The sequence below is a fragment of the Homo sapiens genome, chromosome 5 (assembly GCF_000001405.40).
Source record: "Homo sapiens chromosome 5, GRCh38.p14 Primary Assembly".
Classification (NCBI taxonomy): Eukaryota; Metazoa; Chordata; class Mammalia; order Primates; family Hominidae; genus Homo; species Homo sapiens.
In genome coordinates this window covers 37001571-37022513 of record NC_000005.10, presented here as the reverse complement: position 1 = coordinate 37022513, position 20943 = coordinate 37001571, and the positions used below count along the sequence as shown (strand labels likewise).

Below are 20943 nucleotides of genomic sequence, written 5' to 3'. Positions count from 1 at the left end.
AAATTTGACAATATAAATATATAATTGGTACATTTATTTTTCTAACTTAACACTTTAAAACAAAACATGATGCTTGAAAGGCAAAATTATATTCACGAATCATTATAAAAATGACAAACATACCAATATTCTTTCAATCAGCATATCATAATACTGTTCAGCAAGCTGAGGTCGACAAAGGACAAATCGACCTAGTAATTCTACTGCTGCTTCTCGGACACTAGTCGAATTATCCATCAATCGTCCATGAACACCTCGTTGCATATCAAGCTAAAGAAAAATGAAGAGAAAAAAACAATTTATACCTAAATAGAGTGAATATTCCAATTCGAGTAGAAAAGAAAGAATCATTTTTGCTCTTTACCCTTGCTAGAATACTGGGGTCTACAGCAACAACCTCAGACAAACACTTCATGGCTTTTGTTCGAACAGCAATTGCATTTTCACCAAGAACTCGTAGGATCTGCCAAGCAAACATTGACATTTTTGTAAATTTTAGAATACATAAAATTTAATTAAAAATAGCATGAAAACATGCAAAAGAAAACAAATCTATTATTTACCTCTCTTTAATCTGTATATAAATGAGTAAAGGATCTTTCCTAATGATTCAAAGTTTAACTTAAAAATCAGTACAGGTGTTAAGTGTATAGTCCATACTTTGGAGCCTTTCGTTTATCCAATTAAACCTGTTTTTTAATTGTTTTGCTTCATTTGCAGAACCTGTAGCCCCATTAAAACCTTGCTATGTGTAACTTGAATCAAAGATATTTAGTATCATTCAAATCATAATTTGGTAGTTGAATGTTTTGTATTTTATTACTTTATTTTTTGGGATGGAGTCTCGCTCTGTCGCCCAGGCTGGAGTGCAGTGGCGCAATCTCGGCTCCCTGCAACCTCCATCTCCCGGGTTCAAGCGATTCTCCTGCCTCAGCCTCCTGAGTAGCTGGGACTACAGGCACATGCCACCATGGCAGCTAATTTTTTGTATTTTTAGTAGAGATGGGGTTTCACTGTGTTAGCCAGGACGGTCTTGATCTCCTGACCTCGTAATCTGCCCGCCTTGGCTTCCCAAAGTGCTGGGATTTAGTTGGATGTTTTTATAATGTCACTTACTCTACTGATACTGTATGTGTGTGCATTCATACAAATATATATTTGTAAAACAAGAATATGTAAAAGGGATGTAGAACAAGGACTTTCTTTTTTTGTTTGAGATGGAGTTTCCCTCTTGTTGCCCAGGCTGGAGTGCAATGGCACGATCTCGGCTCACTGCAACTTCCACCTCCCAGGTTCAAGCAATTCTCCGGCCTCAGCCTCCCGAGTAGCTGGGATTACAGGCATGTGCCACCACGCCCCGCTAATTTTTGTATTTTTAGTAGAGACGGGGTTTCACCATGTTGGTCAGGTTGGTCTCGAACTCTTGACCTCAGGTGATCCACTTGCCTTGGCTTCCCAAAGTGTTGGGATTACAGGCGTGAGCCACTACACCCGGCCGGAGAACCTAAAAACAAATACTACATCTATGATCTTTTAAGTATCTGTACTCAACAATGAATGATATTATATACTGCTCACAAGCATCCAGAATCAGAAAAATCAATATCACTGTATAAGGAATTCTTATCCAGTTTACCTGTGTCAAATAAATATCAAAGCTCTGGGCAAACGGCCTCATGGAGGCCAAGTATCGAACAATCAAGCAAGCATCATCATAGTCCACAGTATCAGAGTTCATCCTGCAACAAAAAGTCATTAAAAATTTATTTTTCTTTTTTTGTAACTTAGGGAAATAGATATCAAGGAGATAAATGTAAACTGTTTTCTCCTTGGATCTTACTTTAATGTGCTAAACTGAGAAGGTGTGGTTTTGATAATGCTTCTAAGAAACTTTTTTCGGTTTTCAGCTCGATGCATAATTTGGCCAGTTGTCTCAATTTCCTTTGCATGATGTGTTCCTTCAGATGATTCTTCATCTTTTTGTGATTTCATTGCTTTTTCTGTTTCCAGAGTTGTGTCTCGAAACCACTGGGCTATATAGAATTTACGAGAAAACTGGAAAGAAATTAGACAGACTTGAGCTTGATGAAATTAGCAACAAGATTTCCAAGTTAATAAAGTTAGAGTGCTCACATTACAGGAATACAAATATTAAAGTTTACTTTAAAACAACTTCCATGTGATAAAAACAGATTTTAAGAAAGCCAGAAAATATAGAATATCCTAAATGTTAGAAAACTTATTATTTTACTATGTTCCAATACTTATATTAATGAAGTCAAGATAATTTGATAAACACAACTGTATTAAATATAGAATACTATTATCAACTACTTAATCAAGGACAACATCATGACAAAGTTAAACAGATGATGGGTCAACTAGGAAAGTTTAAAACAAATTGATAAAATGCTGAAGGTAGAAGACTTCATCTGTTTTCAAATTTTGCCTTAGTTCTCCAAGAAACACACAAGACAATTGTCACTGAAATAGTTTAACACTGAGACACACCTGTAAATCTGTTCCTTTGAATACAAACTGAAAACCTACAGTATTTGGCTGAAGAGCTTAGTAGTATCCCATTTCTTTCAATTGCATATCCCACCAGTTAAAAAATAAAATAAAATATCTCTATGTATAATGTTCTCAAATAATAGTTTATAAATTTTGTACATGAACCTCTTATACTAATATTTTGGTTACATTGTGTAACATACATGAAATAGAAGTAAAATTATATTTAAAAATATACATATAAAAATCCAATAGTTTATTTTTACAGGCTTATAGATCATCTCATGTACCACTCGGCCCATACTCACTCTGAGAACCAATGACCTAGCCTAGCCTCAAAGATCACTTACGGAGAGACTTCCAAATATTTCTCTTGTCACACAATTTTAGTACAGTACAGTATCTGTAACCAGAATTCCATATAAGACAAATCAACCCAAAGCATTCTTTTCTGTTTAGATTATCAAGTATCCCTTTGTTTTGAAAATCAATATTCCAAACAACTTAAGTTTTCCTCTTCATCATGCTACCTCCCAATTTTCTTAAACCCAATTTAAATAAACATGTAGTATCTCCAAAACAGGGGAAAAGAATCCTACCACTAGTGAAGGATCAGTCTCAGTGTTTTCATCCAAGTAATCAAGCAATGCTTTTTGTAATTGTTGGATTTCATCTTCCCCTCCTGAAACCTATAGAATAAACCAAATAAGAACAAAAAAGATATTACTGGTGTGCTTTAATAAATCACCTAATTGTAAACACAAATCTGAAGGAAAAACTGATATTAAAAATGAAAATACAACCACAGTAACTAAAAGGAAAAAACAGAAAAATATTATTTCCGAAAAATATTATATATTGATAGCTGAAGTTTGCCTTTTTTGTTTTACTTTTTTTGAGATGGAGTTTCACTCTGTCGCCCAGGCTGGAGTCCAGTGGCACTATCTCGGCTCACTGCAATCTTTGCCTCCTGGGTTCAAGCAATTCTCCTACCTCAGCCTCCCTAGTAGCTGGGACTACAGGCATGGTCCACCATGCCTGGCTAATTTTTGTATTTTTAGTAGAGACAGGGTTTCACCATGTTGGCTAAGCTGATCTCGAACTCCTGACCTCAAATAATCCACCCTTCTGAGATTACAGGTGTAAGCCACTGCGCCCGGCCATTATTTTTATGAACCATATGTCATTTTTTAAAAAAAGAGCTCATAGGTAGTTGACATAAAAATGATCAGAAAAATGTGTTAAATCTTCAGAGGTAGGAAGAATTTCCTTTTGGAAATATGTGTTGAGAGCCATAAAAATTTACAAATGATCCTTCCCCTTGAGCTGCACAATGTATAATCAACATAGCCATACATGGCAATAAGAGGTTCCAGGCCCACTTTAAGAAATACAGAAAGTCATCCAGTAACTAGATCTTGGTTTCTACATTACAATTCACCAACAAAAGGAACCAAGATTCCTAGGAGAAACAACTGATCCCAGGGCAGGGGTAGGGAAGGTAAAAGATCTGCCTGAAATACCTTTTTGTTCTAGAAAGCCCTCAAATTATGATGGGAATATATCAAAATGATATAAAAGCCAGCTTCAAAGGGTTCTCATTGATCAAATCTAGGACGATTTGAGCATTAAAATAATGATGGCAACAAATTATAATTTACCAGAGTAGGTATTGTATTACATCAGATGTTAATATTGTATTAATGATAATTTTTTGCTTTTGATAATTGTACTATAGATATTTAAGTGAGAGCTCTTGTTTGCAGAAATATACACTAAGCAGTGGTTCCCAAGTTTCAGCATTCATTCATTCATTAGAATCACCTGGAGGGCTTGTTAAACCAAGAGTTTTTGATTCAGTAGGTCCAGGGAGGGTCCTAAGAATTTGTACTTTTGTTAGAAATGTACTTGTTAGTTCCCAGATGATTTCAATGTTGGTGTTACTTGTCAAGGGGATCATACTTGGAAAATCACTGCATTAGAGAATTCAGGGGTAATGAGGGAATCATGTCTGCAACTTAACTTCAAGTGGTTCGAAACAAAATTTAAAAAAAAATGCATATACAGACACACATACATCTATATTTTGAAAGATGAGAAAGGAAATTTTGTAAATTGTCAATAATTGAGGAATTTGCAAGAAGCTTTTATGGGAGTTCTTTGTACTATTCCTACAATTTTTCTCTAAGGTTGAGATTATTTCAAAACACGAACTATAGCTAAAAAAAAATTAGAGGCATTTCTACCAACATGGATATGATTACGAGCATAAAAAAAGACTAGAAAAAAATGAAAACAGAAGTTGTATATAGTAGGATTAGAAATCATTTCTTCACCAGTTTTCTCAAGTAACTTTATTACTACCACTTCATCCACATTAAAAAAAAAAAAGCAATAAAACACTTTTTCCCCCAAGATGAAAACTCTCTAATGTAATAAAGTATAAAAAAGCTCTCCTCACACCTCCTTGGTATGAGAAGATACAAAACATTCAAAAGTACAAAACAATCTTATTGTGTATGCTAAATCACCATTCAGTAAATTAAAAACTTAAATAAAATTTATGTTAAATCAAATATAAAACAGCATTATACATTATTAAGAGTACTTCACAAAAAGAAAGTAAATGATTTATATGAACCATTCAGAAGTCCCTGTTAGACTAAATAATTCATTCTCAGGTCTTAAAATTTCTCACTGGGGCTTTGAAAAGCCCACTTTTAGAAGTAAAAATCTTATTTTGAATCCACACAAAATGAAATGCAAAACTAATGTAAGGACATGCAAAGAAAATAACTATTATTCATTCCCATAATTTTAATCTTTTATCTTAGTACCTGTTTTAAAATGCGTTCTATAGATCCTTGATCCATTTTGCTTGTAACAGCATCTTTTCTTAGCCGTGCAGCAACAGTTCCAAGGTAATCAAGAGATGCCACTCTTAAAGCCATCTCTGTTGACTTGTTACTGAACTGATGAACCTAAATATCAAAATAGTTTTTGATTGAATAGATTTATAACAATATATTTTAAATAGCAATTTATCATATAAATTCCCAATCTAAATTGTATAATTTAAAATTTAAACTTTTTTTTTTCCTGTGATATTGTCCCATAAAGTCATTTTTGCCTTTTGATTTTCTGGAATCTGAACATTTTCATGTGACTAAAAAAATTACAGATTAAACTTCCTTAAGAACAACACAACTCATTAAATATGCAGGCTCAACTGTATTATTTGCACAAAATGTGGTATTACTGAGTAAGAATTTCTTAGGGTGGAATTCTGATGCCTATGAAAAGTTATTATAGTTTCCGAATAATATTAACATATTTTCCCATTCACAAAAAGGTCCCAGAAGCTTTGTAACAATGTGTATTGTGCAAGTTCAAATGTAGTTTAAAAATAGAGTCACAACATTTCTTTGCATTTACCTACTGTGTTACATGACGACTACAAAATGCCATACATTTGTAGAAATACTCTTAAAGATGATAAGGAGTCTATATTAATCATTTTCTTGCTTTGAAATGAGTAACTTATGACTCAGTGTTGAGATGCTTTTAACAATATAACATTTCCAAAAAAAAAAAAATTGTTAAAGCACTGTTATCTTATGTAATGAAATGAAAGCACCAAACTTCACAACATTTGAAAATTTTCTACAAGGTACTGACAATATTGTGTACAGTTATGCACATGCAAAAAGAGATGCAATGTTCATATTTCCTTACACATTTTTAAAGAATTCATCATCTGTGAATCAGAGTACATCCTCATTATGTTGTCTTCTAGTAATCTAATAATCTTTAAATGCTATACTCTTACCAACAGTCTCCCTAACAAACTAAGGAGTAGTTCAGCAGCTGGCCATTCAGGCTTATTGACTGTTGAAAGAAGGTCTTGAACAAAATTTTCAAACAGTGGTCTGTAATCTTCTTCACCTTGCTTACTACCACATCTGTTCAAAGGCAAATAATGAAAAGGATGTCAATTTAGGTGACACATGTCAGTCATCTGTCTACCAACATGATTGAAATTGTTAGCTAAGTTTTCTTTTTTCTATGTTTAGTAACAAAATATATAAATGTACATTAAATAAAATATGGTTTAAAATGAGTCTATTTCACAAACTCCACTTTCTCCTTAATTATAGGGAATTCATTTATTAAGCAATACTAATACTACTTTCTCGCAAGTGAAACACATTTAAAAAAATGATCACTGTTTTTCTACCTAAAAGATCACCATAAATTCTTTATTTTTTTGAGATGGAGTCTCACCCTGTCACCCAGGCTGGAGTGCAGTGGCATGATCTTGGCTTACGGCAACCCTCCACCTCCCGGGTTCCAGCGATTCTCCTGCCTCAGCCTCTCAAGTAGCTGGGACTACAGGCGTGCACCACCATGCCTGGCTAATTTTTGTATTTTTAGTAGAGACAGGGTTTCACCACGCTGGTCAGGCTGGTCTCGAACTGACCTTGTAATCCACCTGCCTTGGTCTTCCAAAGTGCTGGGATTACAGGTGTGAGCCACCACACCTGGCCAAGGTCATCATAAATTCTTATGGAGGCTGGGCTGGGCGCAGTGGCTCACGCCTGTAATCCCAGCACTTTGGGAGGTCAGGGCAGGCAGATCACCGGAGGTTGGGAGTTCGAGACCAGCCTAACCAACACGGGGAAACCCCGTCTCTACTGAAAATACAAAAATTAGCTGGCCATGGTGGTGCATGCCTGTAATCCCGGCTACTTGGGAGGCTGAGGCAGGAGAATCGCTTGAAGCTGGGAGGCGGAGGTTGCAGTTAGCTGAGATCGTGCCATTGCACTCCAGCCTGGGCAACAAGAGCGAAACTCTGTCTCATTAAAAAAAAAAAAAAATTCATATGGAGGCTAAATAACATCTCTTCACAAACTTTCCTATTCAGGTACACTAGGAAAATTCTCCAAAATTTACTGAAGACAAATTACAGAATTTCAATCTAGTACTTTAATTTCTGGAGTCTAACATATAAGCAAATTCACAAAATTTTAGATTTTTTTCCCCCGTGTAGTCCCATCCCAATTTTAGATTTTTAATACTCCAATTGCCTCATTTTAAAGATCAAGAAACCAAGTGTCAGGAAGATGTATTCAAGGTTCAGATTATGGCAGGAAATTGGATTCATCTTTTTAAAAAAATGAACTATTCTCTATACTGTGGAAAAGAAAAACCAGATTTATATTAATTTTACTCACTTTTTAAGGAAGATGGAGAGGAAGTTTTGGGCTGTTCGCATAGCTGTTTCATAAGAGTTAGTAATGACAACATCCTGGTCAATCTAGAATGAAAAAAAGTGAGTTTATAAAGATACAAGAAATAATAAGTTAGCCCTGTTGCTATTGTCATGTTATTACTGAAGAGGGGTAATATATTTAAATACTAAAATGCTTAAACTATTACATTATATATAATAAGAGAAGCCAAAATTAGCACACTAAGCATATTTTAAAACTTTATAGAAACAAATAAAAATACAGATAGAGTGTTATTAAAATAATGTAAGAGTAACATATGTGGTTAACAAATTTAATATCAATAGTTGTTTATCATAATCCTGGTCAGAACAGAAAGAAATGGATTGAAAATAAAAAAAGAATTTAGAAAAAATATGTCAACCTCAAAGTTTAAGAAACATATAATCCATACAATCAAAAAAAAAAATTCAAAGCCTTCATCAGAAATTTAAAGATTAAGCTCTCCCTCCCTCTCCCTCTCCTTCTCCCTCTCCCTCTCCCTCTCCACGGTCTCCCTCTCCCTCTCTTTCCACGGTCTCCCTCTGATGCCGAGCCGAAGCTGGACGGTACTGCTGCCATCTCGGCTCACTGCAACCTCCCTGCCTGATTCTCCTGCCTCAGCTTGCCGAGAGCTGCGATTGCAGGAGCGCACCGCCACGCCTGACTGGTTTTCGTATTTTTTTGGTGGAGACGGGGTTTCGCTGTGTTGGCTGGGCTGGTCTCCAGCTCCTAACCGCGAGTGATCCGCCAGCCTCGGCCTCCCGAGGTGCTGGGATTGCAGACGGAGTCTCGTTCACTCAGTGCTCAATGGTGCCCAGGCTGGAGTGCAGTGGCGTGATCTCGGCTGGCTACAACCTCCACCTCCCAGCAGCCTGCCTTGGCCTCTCAAAGTGCCGAGATTGCAGCCTCTGCCCGGCCGCCAACCCGTCTGGGAAGTGAGGAGCATCTCCGCCTGGCCGCCCATCGTCTGGGATGTGAGGAGCCTCTCTGCCTGGCTGCCCAGTCTGGAAAGTGAGGAGCATCTCTGCCCGGCCGCCATCCCATCTAGGAAGTGAGGAGCGCCTCTTCCCGGCCACCATCACATCTGGGAAGTGAGGAGCGTCTCTGCCCGGCCACCCATCGTCTGAGATGTGGGGAGCACCTCTGCCCTGCCACCCCGTCCGGTATGTGAGGAGCGTCTCTGCCCGACCGCCCCGTCTGAGAAGTGAGGAGACCCTCTGCCTGGCAACCGCCCCGTCTGAGAAGTGAGGAGCCCCTCCGCCCGGCAGCCGCCCCGTCTGAGAAGTGAGGAGCCCCTCCGCCCAGCAGCCACCCTGTCTGGGAAGTGAGGAGCGTCTCCGCCCAGCAGCCACCTCGTCCGGAAGGGAGGTGGGGGGGTCAGCCCCCCGCCCGGCCAGCCGCCCCGTCCGGGAGGGAGGTGGGGGGGTCAGCCCCCCGCCTGGCCAGCCGCCCCATCCGCGAGGTGAGGGGCGCCTCTGCCCGGCCGCGCCTACTGGGAAGTGAGGAGCCCCTCTGCCCGGCCAGCCGCCCCGTCCGGGAGGGAGGTGGGGGGGTCAGCCCCCCGCCTGGCCAGCCGCCCCGTCCGGGAGGTGAGGGGCGCCTCTGCCCAGCCGCCCCTACTGGGAAGTGAGGAGCCCCTCTGCCCGGCCAGCTGCCCCGTCCAGGAGGGAGGTGGGGGGGGGTCAGCCCCCCGTCCGGGAGGTGAGGGGCGCCTCTGCCCGGCCACCACCCCGTCTGGGAAGTGTACCCAACAGCTCATTGAGAACGGGCCATGATGACAATGGCGGTTTTGTGGAATAGAAAAGGGGGAAAGGTGGGGAAAAGATTGAGAAATCGGATGGTTGCCGTGTCTGTGTAGAAAGAGGTAGACATGGGAGACTTTTTATTTTGTTCTGTACTAAGAAAAATTCTTCTGCCTTGGGATCCTGTTGATCTGTGACCTTACCCCCAACCCTGTGCTCTCTGAAACGTGCTGTATCCACTCAGGGTTGAATGAATTAAGGGCGGTGCAAGATGTGCTTTGTTAAACAGATGCTTGAAGGCAGCATGCTCCTTAAGAGTCATCACCACTCCCTAATCTCAAGTACCCAGGGACACAAACACTGCGGAAGGCCGGAAGGCCGCAGGGTCCTCTGCCTAGGAAAACCAGAGACCTTTGTTCACTTGTTTATCTGCTGACCTTCCCTCCACTATTGTCCTGTGACCCTGCCAAATCCCCCTCTGCGAGAAACACCCAAGAATGAATAAAAAAAAAAAAAAAAAAAAAAAAATTGGAGAAAGAATCTAATATTCAATATATGAAAACTCTCTCCACCTAAGGAAATACTGATTCAGGATATCAAAGCAGATTACTGAATAAAGACAAAATAAATAAAAAGAGAATATCACCAAGATAAAAAAAAAAAAAAAATTAGCCCGGCATGGTGGCGCGTGCCTGTAGTTCCAGCTACTCGGAAGGCTGAGGTGGGAGGATCACTTGAGCCTAGGCGGTTGAGGCTGTGGTGAGCTGTGATCACGCTGCTGCAACCAGCCTGGGCAACAGAGTGAGACCCTGTCTCAAAGAAAACAAAAAGAAAAAAAAAAAAAAGAAATTTAAAGATTAAGATATAAACAGTCAATTCACAGTTATAAAAATACAACAGACAAATAACTATAGGAAAAGGGGCTCAAGCTCACTAATAACCAGGAAAATGCAAAATAAGATGGGTATTTCTCAATGACCATAATTTTAAGTAAGAAGTAGGGCTATAAACTGAAACACCACTTTAGTAAGCAAATTGACAACTTCCAGTAAATTTAATGCATGTATACTATCTTAATTTTACTTCTAAGTGTATCTACAGAAACTTTTGCTTTAAGTTGTGATTCTATGATATGGTGTTTTTAACTCAAGTAAAAAACAATCTAGTATGAGTTGTATGTATTAAAAGCGATGTTGAGTGAAAAAATTAGCTGTAAATATGTCACTGTCCTTTACGTAAAAATGAAATAATTGTATATCAAATTTACATAAAAATAATTAAAAGAAAGAAAGAAACATATTCATGATACTTGTCACCAATGGTTAGGAAAGGAAGACTAGAGACAAACAATGGGATTGGGATGGGAGAAATAAAGAGGATCTGAACTTTTCAGAGAGTATTTGACTTTCTTTCTTTCATTCATTCATTTTTAGACAGGTTCTCATTCTGTCATCCAGGCCAGGGTGCAGTGGCACAATCTCGGCTCACTGAGTCTCGATCTCTCAAGGCTCAATCGACCCTCCTGTTTCAGCCTCCTGAGTAGCTGGGATGACAGGTGCACAACAACATGACCAGCTAATTTGTGTATTTTTTGTAGAGACAGAGTTTTGTCATGTTGCCCAACTGGTCTTGAACTCCTGGCCTCAAGCAATCTGCCCACCTTGACCTCGCAAAGTGCTGGGATTATGGGCATGAGCCAAAGTGCCTGTCCAGTTATTAATAATTATTACATATTTATTATTATTCCCAAAAAGATACACACATATGCTTGGCTCTAACAGTAGATAAACAAAATTATTTGTTTCTCTTAAACTTTTGTTGAGATAAAAGTATACACTTGGAAAAATTCTAAACATCTCCAAAAGCTGTAAAACCAAACGCAAATCGTCGGCATGAGCTACCTATTAGGGAGGGAATAAACTCATTTTCCACATGAATTTAATGTTAATTATAATCCTATGTTATGTATTTATATATGGGTTTAGTACCCCTAATCTGAAAATATGAAATGCAAAATGCCCTAATGAATATTTCCTTTGAATATCATTTTGGTACTCAAAAAGTTTCAGATTTTAGAGCATTTCCGATTTTAGATTTTTGGATCAGGGATACTCAACATGCATATATATTACATATTGTATTATTCACTTTCACATTTAATATCTCACTGACCCTTACAACCTGGTATAGCAGTTTTGATAAGTATTATCACCTCCATTTTACAGCTGAAGAATAAACTCAGAAAGATTAAAATGATTTATATGTTTTATGACTGATAGATACAACAGAACCAGAACTCAACTCTTCCAACACCATGTCTAGTGCTCTAAAAGGACCTTAAAGCCCAGCCATGAACCTCTAATTAAGAACATCAGCTTTGGCCAGGCGCAGTGGCTCCCACCTGTAACCCCAGCACTTTGGGAGGCTGAGGAGGGTGGATCATGAGTTCGAGACCAGCCTGACCAACATGGCGAAAACCCGTCTCTACTAAAAATACATAAATTAGCCGGGCGTGGTGGTGCGTGCCTGTAATCCCAGCTACTCAGCAGGCTGAGGCAGGAGAATCACTTGAACCCGGGAGGCAGAGGTTGCAGTGAGCCGAGATCGCGCCACTGCACTCCAGCCTGGGTGACAGAGCGAGACTCCGTCTCAAAAAAAAGAAAGAAAAAAAAAGAACTTCAGTTTTATAAGAATGACAGAGAATATAGGTATTTCCTTCAATAAAAGTACAGTTGTAAAACCTTTAATAGATTCCTTACTTTTTTATTTGAATCTTCTTCTGCATTAGAGTCCTTCTCTGATGATGGTAAGTGTACCACACACTGAATAAGTTGTAAAACCAGTGCTGTAACCATCTGAATATACATAGGTTCTCCATCCATATCACTACTGTTTAACCTTTAATGAAGAAAAAAAATTTGTATGGAGTATCAAGATAATCTCATTTAAATGTCATCTATTGTCTGAAAGTTTCACGATACTGTGTTTGCCAATATTTCTAGGCATGATCTTAGTGCTTATTGTGTTCTTATGTGTAATTATTTGTTGTAAGTTAGCAAAAACATCAAGTAAATGCCTATGCATGCTGAGATAATTAAAATAGTCAAAGGAAAAATACAGTATTTAATACAAATTTGTATGCTTTACATACATTGCAGATAAAAATTCATACTACTACTAAACATTTCTCAAAATGATTTTGAAAATGATAAAAGTCTTCAAAGTTTCCAAATGCCCATATATTTTGCTATTCATCTGCTGAATCTGTTATTCATTTGGTATTAAAATCTGCTACACAGCTCTTGATCATCTATGCTAGTGTTGGTAGCACAGATTATAAAAAATCAATTTCCACATCTTTTGTTCTATAGATATTGTAAAAAATCTAAGGATTCTTTTATGTGTTGATAGTTTTTCTTCATAGTTTTTCTTCAGGTTTAACAGACAATAAATGTTTATCAGTATACAATTAGTCCAAAAAATGATTAAGATAAAATAATTATTTTAGAGAAGAAAGAAGCCTTCAAAGCAATCTTAAAAACAATCCTATATGCCACGTCAACACTTTTAATCACTCAGGAATATTAAGATAATTCCGGTGATTATCTATGATGGCAAAGACAATAATGCTGACCATAGCAGTGGGTAACACTCCTTATTAACAGTGTGCTTAGTGATTAAAGAGCATTTAATCCCCATGTTTATTCTCCATACTGCCATTAATCTTTCTGTTTTTTATTTTTTTTTTTGAGACACAAAAATCTTATAAAATCCTCTTTGAACTGATCTGATTATTTTGAGCCATATTTCCAACAGGATGAACAAGATCTTCTCACTGACTAGTGGTTCATATTAAGGAATGATTTTGCTCTCCAGTGCCTGGAAATAATTTTGGTTGTCACAACTGGAAGGAGGAAGGGTGTCTATTGGTACCTAATGGGTAGAGGTCAGGGATGCCGCTGAGCATGCTGTATTCCACTAGACAGCTATGCATAACAAAGTGTTATATGGCCTAAAATGTCAACAGTGCCAACACTGAAAAACCCTGCCACAGATCTTTACCCTTGAGAATCAGTGAAGTTTTCTAAGCCCCCTAAATATGCCATGTTATTTCACACATCTATTTTTCATGCTGTTCTGATGTAACTGCCTAGTTTTTAATTATTAAAATATAAATCAGACAGAAATGAAGAATAAATGTATGACGGTTCAATATAATGGTGGTTCTTCATTAAACTTGACCTCTGTTATAATTAATTACCTGAAGTTCCTTAAACTCCTCTTGCTGGTTGGTAATCTTGCAAGTGAAGTAAAAATTTCTTCCAAAATTAACTGCCTATGTTTTTCATATCTTGAGAATACCTGTTTAGTAATTATAAGATTCCAAGTTAAACTTATAATAGAAAACAAACCAAAAAATAATATCATGTGATTTAAAAAATTACCTGCCATTTAGAATGAAAATGTTTTCAGTATCTAAGGTAAGCTGCTCTATTTTCCTATCATTAATTATAACATTCTTATAGAAGTCAAAGAGTACACTAGTTTCATTTAAAGGACTATGAAATCTTGGCTATAGGCAGTCAGACAAGAATTTAAATGATTTTAAACCATTCTAACTTTATTATAAATATCAAGGAATTATTAGCTGAAATATTTGCAAATATTTGGAAGTGTTTTAAATGTGACAAAAACAGAATAACCCAACAAATTAACCAAACAGAAAAATAAATCCTCAATTAATAAAGTCTAATAAGACTTAGTAAAATAGTCCTTAGATTGAAATGAATGTACTGAAAACCAGGTATCTTCATTATTTTTTGGAAATTTGGATTAAATGACATCAATATTGTTTTATTTGTGGGGTAACTAAAAATACAAATTGATTATACTTACTGCAGTGACTAACTTAATGGCACACAACTGTAGTTCACTGACATTTTCCACAAAAAATGGTGTTATTCCCATAGATGAAACCTGTTTAAAAAAGAAGAGTAAGTAGTATACACCTTTAGTTGATTTCAGTAACATTCTATCTTACTAAATTCCAATACATTCATAAGCTTACTGGAAAACACTAAGAAAGCATTTTTTCTTTTCCCCACCTAATCAGCATCTATTCTTTTCTCTGTTTCCCTTCATCCTCAAAGCACGTTAGCATATACAACAGGTACATTGTATCATAGCTATCAGTCCTCTAATCTCTACTTTTTGAGTTTACAAATGTCACAGGAATATAAAGAAATAACAAACATTTAATATCTGCATGAAAATATAACCCATCTTTCAAAGAATTTAGAGTTTGGAATTTACACTACATTTGTTTGTCTCCTGATAAAATGTCTTTTTAAAACTCCTGAAGTTTTATTTCTTCGATTTAGATATAACATACTCTTAACAGGAAAAATTCTTGATAATATAGTGCTGGTCTTATTATTGAGTGAGCTAGGTTATACTAGACTTAATCATTTAGTTTAGAAATATACAAAATGCTTACCAAAAAATCTTACCTGAAGAATTGTTGTGTCTGTAAGAAGTTGTATCTCTAGCAATTCTGATAAGCTGCTAACAATGTCACAAACTTTGTTATAAAGCATTACTATTACTCTCTGCTTATGGGTAGAACATTTAGCCCGTTTTGCTTTTGAACTTAATAAGCCTCCTAAAATGAAACAAATTCAAGATAAGGAAAACATCAACTTTTAATAATTTTTAATAAACAGTACTCAAACTGTTTTTTGAATTAAGAGAACACAATTTTCTAGCTACAGAACCTGGAAGATAAAGCTTTTTATTTATTAAAATAGAAAATTACTCTCTAGAGATATTCTATTAGAAACATTCTTGCATCAGATAATCTTCAGCAGCTATTAAATCCCTGTATCTAAAATATTATTTTATCTTGATTTCTACTTTTCTCCATTGGAGCAGGATAGTAAGATTATATTTCCCTTTAAATTAATTTGCAGTTATACAATAGATCGTCAAGTTCATTATTCAGGAACTATACTTAGGTATGACCTTACTCCCTTCAAATGTATACATTTCATTGCTCATTTATAAAGGTTAAGAACAAGAAAAGGAGTATTTATCTTGAATCAATCCATTTTGTAGACAACTGCTATTTTGGGTAAAATTAGGGCGAAGTGATAAATGAAACCAGAAGGTAGTATTTTCTGAGATTTTCCCTGACAAGTAGAAATAACTTCTATTATATATAAATGTTCCTAAAGAAATTATAATTGAACAAGTACTATATTCTAGTCAAATCCATAATCAAAATCAGTGTTTATTACAAGTTATATGATTCAAAAATTTTGGTGCCATTTTAAGTCCTATTTTGACTCATCTAACATGGCAAAAATTTACAATAATTTTGATATTATACGAACTAACCTCCATGAGGATCTAATCTGTAAACAGGATCATACTGAGGATAAAGTGTATTCTGCAAATGAAATTTAGTGTACTGTATAACTCTTTCAATTACATCCTCAATGTACACAGCTTTTGGCATGTTAGGGGATGTCATAATGTTGATAGTTGTAAGACAAGCATCCGCTGATTTTGTAACTCTCTCCATAATAAGGTCTCTCCATAACCTTTCTTCTTCTTCAGTATCGTTATTCTGTAAAACAGTATTGTTAATGAAATGGAAATAAACACATTTATAGGTTTAAAATATACATTAAAATTATGATTTGATTTTCACTGGTGGAAAAGTGTTATGATGTGTGTTAATTCTTTTAAGAATATCCAGAATGAGGTACAAATACTGATACTACTTTGAGCACGATTTGTGTTTCAATGTTTTCAAACGTGATATACTCTACCTCATTTCACCACTAGATGACACCCTACTGACAAAGTTATAATTATCTTTATATCCTTTGTGTGCTTTATCCGAATTTAAGATTTAGCTTATGACTTTAACTGCATATAAATTAATTTTGTGTTTTGGGTATAAACATTATGATAGTTTAAAGACTTTATAAATTCTGCTTGCTGCTGTGATAACAAAGCAAAAATTAATGACAAAGGGTAAAATCTTACTTAGTACTAAAATTGACAATCATTCCTAACACCTGCTTTTCGACAACACAGTTTCTGAAACTGAGATTAAAAAGTAGTAATATGCAGACTAATGAAGACTTTTTTTAAATGGATAATTTAAGAACTGACAGAAGACTTTATTTTAATTTACACATCAGCAACTTGACATTGCAAATTAGGAGTAATCTCACTGTTAAAGTAAAAATCCTTCTATCACATCTTTAGTTATGAAATATAAACTATATTACAGGACTACTTCCAATTCAAAGCTTATACCCTAGGAAAACGAACAAAAACACGATATATAATATGTAAAGCAGACAGGGCTTTCTGTTCAGTAATGCCTAAAACCTCACAAAGGAAAGATAAAGTAGCTTGTCTTTGATGCGAACATTGCTGTTTGTTTGGAAGAGTCAGTTAAGGAGGCTCATGATTCATGCCAAACGTTAAGGCTATCCACAACATATTAAATACTGTTACGGTTTTTAGGGATGAAAGTAATTTCCTTAAGACTGAGTCAGCCAGCTCTCCAGAACTCTAGATTTCTGATGATGATTATCACAATTTCTTGGCGAAGTATTTAAGTAACTTGTAGACTAACAATGGAGTAGATTGTTACTTTAGGTTTCTCTAAGCCTTTGTTTCTGTGATGCAAAAAGTAAAGAGAGGGCACTTAAAAATATAAATATATTTAATAATCCAGAAAACAACCACCTGAGATTATTTTTCTACATATTTTATTCCAGAAGTGTCCAATCTTTTGGCTTCCCTGGGCCACAGTGGAAGAAGAATTGTCTTGGACTACATATAAAATACACTAACAATTACGATAGCTGATGAGCGTAAAAAGAAATTGCAAAAAATCCTCATGTTTCAAGAAAGTTTACGAATTTGTGTTGGGCTGCATTCAAATCTGTCCTGGGCCACACGGGCCAGTGGGCCACAGGTTGGACAAGCTTGTTTTATTCCATGTAGATCCCCTAGCAATCCTGTGGCTTTTGTAAACACCAAGAGCATTTCCCTCATAAGATAAAATAAAATCTAGTGCTTGTATATTAAATATATATACTACATACGTATACATGAGAAGTATATATATCAAAAGTGTTCAAAATGGTCATTGCTGGATTAGAATATAGCTTTTTTGGTGCTTTCTGTGTTTTGGAAATTTTCTACAATAAATATGTTACTTTTATAATCAGGCTTTTAAAAATAAAGAAAATTTGGCCAGGTGTAGTGCCTCACATCTGTGGTCCCAGAGCTTTGGGAGGACAAGGCAGGAGGATTGTTTGTTGCCAGCAGTTTGAGATCAGTCTGAGCAACAGAGTGAGCGCTTGGCTCTACAAAACATTTTAAATAATTGGCCAGGCATTGTGGTGCATGCCTGTAGTTCCAGCAGCTTGGGAGGCTGAGGTGGGAGGATCACCTGAGCCCAGTAGTTCCAGACTACAATGAGCTATGACTGTAGCACTGCACTCCAGCCCAGGGGACAGAGCAAGACCCTGGCTCTATCAGGGGAGAAAAAAAAAAAAGGGAGAGAAAGAAAATTTATCAACTCAGAACTTACTAAATGCCTATAAGCATTAGTGTTTGCATTCATTAATGTCAGAGATATCAAGATCAATTTGAATGCACATATAATTCATAGTCCACTACAATGCTAGGAAGGCAAATCCCAGGAAATTTGCTTCACTCAATTAATAAACCATTGCAAGCATGTTGCTACTGCTTTTGATATAAGCATATTAAAATATAGTAACAGCTGGAGTTAACATTTACTGAGAAGTTAAAGTGTGCCAGACACTAAGTGCTTTACATGAATTAATTCTTTAATCCTTTGAACAACCCTTTGAGGTAGGTATAAAAACGGTATATAAGGAGTAATGTATATTAATTAGTATATATTAGGAAATCATAAGGTTTCTAACTATGTTATTTCTTCAGGGAAGCTCAACAAAAAGAATTACTACCTACTATCATCTCATAACTCAAAAACAAAATTTAAACATTCATATACTTACATAAGGAAGAGCATAAACTAAAGAACTGCCCCTTAAATTGACAAACATTTTCATGTCTTTATTATTCTTACTTTATGGCAAAGCTGTGAATTGACAATGTGTAACATTAATTCTGAATTACTAAAAGTGAAGTTCTACTAGCAATGCTAATGAATGTAACTAGTAATTCATGGTAACATGCTCAAATTAACGAAATGTGAAATTTCCCCCACATGAGAGTCATTTGTGAAAAAATTCACATTAGTCCCTCCCTAATGGACAGATGATAGATTCCAAGACCTCGAGTGCATGCCATGGATACTATCAAACCCGATATACACTATGTTTTTTCCTATACATACATACCTAAGATAAAACTTAATTTATAAATTAGGCATGGGAAGAGATTAATGACAATAAAAAACAGAACAATAGACTGTAATAAAAATTATTCACCTACTTTCAGATCACAGTTGACTGTAGGTAACTGAGAAAATGGAAAATGAAACAATAGAGAAGTGGGGGACTACTATAGATCTTAATAACATTAAGGGTAAAATTAACAGTATGGATCTTAAACTTACATGATTTAACAAAGTGGAAAGCTTTGACCCATCCTGAATATTCTTCTCCAAGATATTTAAGACTTTCACAGTTTTGTCAGTTGAAAGCTAAAATAGCAATATAAATTCTTTATCAATCGTTGGTAAAAGTTATATATTATTCAAGAAACAATCTGTACAATTATTCCCTTTGAGCTATGGAGGAAATAGCATTGTCACCCTCTTAAAGAGTAAGAAAACTTTCCCACTTAGAACTTCTACTCAACGACCCTAAATGACTAAAGCAAATGTCAAAGAAAAATTTAATATATTTCTGCATTTAAATAATCTAAATATTTGAGAAAATGAAAAAAAAAAACTCTGGAAAAAATTAAAGTCCATGCCTCTTTCAATGCAGTAATATGATTCTCTTTAGAATAATCTGCAGAATACTTTTTTCTTTTGTAAAAAAACAAAAAAACTCATTTAGACTCTCAGAAGTCAACAATGAGTTTTCTTTTTACTATTTACTTTACATAAATTTTATAATTTACCCTGAAAACCTTAAATTAATTTCAAATGTTTCTATGAAGTAAATTTATAAATTTTACTTTGGTGAGATACCTTATCCATTATACCCATTGCTTTTATTTTAGCAGATTCACTGCCAAGTTCATTAAGCTGATGTTTTCCTAAGAGCAGTTCCTGAGGAATTTCATCATCATCACCTGCAAAATCAAGCCAAACAAACACAAACAAAGTTTAGGTAAATAAAATAGTTCAAAATGTCAAGCTTAACTTTCTAATAAAATTTTTAGACATGCAAACTAAACAAATAACCTAAGACGCCTCTATATATAAACCTCAAGTAAACCCTGAATGAAAAAGGACAGAAATTGAAGTCAGATTTATGACTGAAATGGGAAGATGAGATAGATATCTTATCTTTACTACTTTAGATATACTCTTGACTCTTTCTCAACCACATTCTCTGCCTCAGGAGGCTGACCTGAATGGACTACATCAAGAGTCTCCCATGCCCTCTGGCTTTTGTTTGGGTTTGGCCAGTAGGGTGCCCTGTTAGAAGATCAAAGAGGAGTGTAAGGTCAAAGTATTTATATCTCTTACTCTTTGCTTACAAGGTCTCCTCAGGCTGGCTCTGTCCCCTGACCAAAAGGTATTGCTTCTTTCAAGGCAGCCTACTCTACAACTTTTTTTCCTGCAGAATGAGTTCTGGTGACTTTTCTGTATCCTCACTCTTTTGGTTTAAGGCTGTTAACCCTGGGTTCTGGTATTATTTTGCCTCCATCTTTTTAACTGGTCTCTTTGTAAATAACTCCTCCTCATATTATCCTATTTTGAGAGTGCCCTTTGTACTTTTGGACCCTAAATGATACAGAAGACAATTTCTCAGCACAGAACTGTAAAGTTTTAAAAAAGATGAAACTGACATTCTAAATAATCAGCAAACACAATGATACTCAGGCAAGTAATTCTCACAAAACAAATACTTACTTTACCAGCTGAAGGTGGCATAAGATTGTTAAGAATAGCTCTATACATTGCAAGCAGTGTTTTTATAAACATTTTAATATTTATAGATGTAATCTTTATGTCATTGTAAAAGTAATACATGAATATAACATTAATCCTACTGTATTCTAACTGGTTTACTATTTTGTTTTCCATATTAGAATCTGTATTCCCTAAAGCCAGGTGTTTGGGTTTTAGTTATTTTTACATCTCCAGCACTTAACATACTACTGGCATACAGTAAGTATTCAATAAATATTGGTCATTAGAATAAATGAACAGAAGA

The 20943-nt window shown here is 35.9% G+C and overlaps 1 protein-coding gene across 8 annotated transcripts in view, besides 2 other annotated features; it reads right to left on the bottom strand.

Moving 5' to 3' along the window:
• NIPBL (NIPBL cohesin loading factor) overlaps nt 1-20943 on the bottom strand; it is a 189645-nt gene that overhangs the window by 43900 nt on the left and 124802 nt on the right. For all 8 annotated transcript variants that reach the window (NM_001438586.1, NM_133433.4, XM_017009329.2 and 5 more), the window contains 15 exons: nt 19749-19852; nt 19167-19253; nt 15926-16157; nt 15040-15191; nt 14426-14506; nt 13791-13891; nt 12289-12427; nt 7749-7831; nt 6344-6476; nt 5352-5495; nt 3114-3203; nt 1841-2055; nt 1637-1739; nt 365-463; nt 124-270 (listed from right to left, as the gene is read on the bottom strand). In NM_001438586.1, coding sequence (NP_001425515.1) covers nt 124-270; nt 365-463; nt 1637-1739; nt 1841-2055; nt 3114-3203; nt 5352-5495; nt 6344-6476; nt 7749-7831; nt 12289-12427; nt 13791-13891; nt 14426-14506; nt 15040-15191; nt 15926-16157; nt 19167-19253; nt 19749-19852 — 1910 coding nt within the window. The remainder of the gene's footprint in view (nt 1-123; nt 271-364; nt 464-1636; nt 1740-1840; nt 2056-3113; nt 3204-5351; nt 5496-6343; nt 6477-7748; nt 7832-12288; nt 12428-13790; nt 13892-14425; nt 14507-15039; nt 15192-15925; nt 16158-19166; nt 19254-19748; nt 19853-20943) is intronic.
• Nucleotides 8049-8562: an enhancer, noted in NCBI's record as "H3K27ac hESC enhancer chr5:37014054-37014567 (GRCh37/hg19 assembly coordinates)". NCBI's record gives its function as "activates a minimal SCP1, AML or CMV promoter by ChIP-STARR-seq in naive H9 embryonic stem cells {active_cell/tissue: H9 hESC(naive)}" and the evidence as "EXISTENCE:reporter gene assay evidence [ECO:0000049][PMID:30033119]".
• Nucleotides 8563-9077: an enhancer, noted in NCBI's record as "H3K27ac-H3K4me1 hESC enhancer chr5:37013539-37014053 (GRCh37/hg19 assembly coordinates)". NCBI's record gives its function as "activates a minimal SCP1, AML or CMV promoter by ChIP-STARR-seq in naive H9 embryonic stem cells {active_cell/tissue: H9 hESC(naive)}" and the evidence as "EXISTENCE:reporter gene assay evidence [ECO:0000049][PMID:30033119]".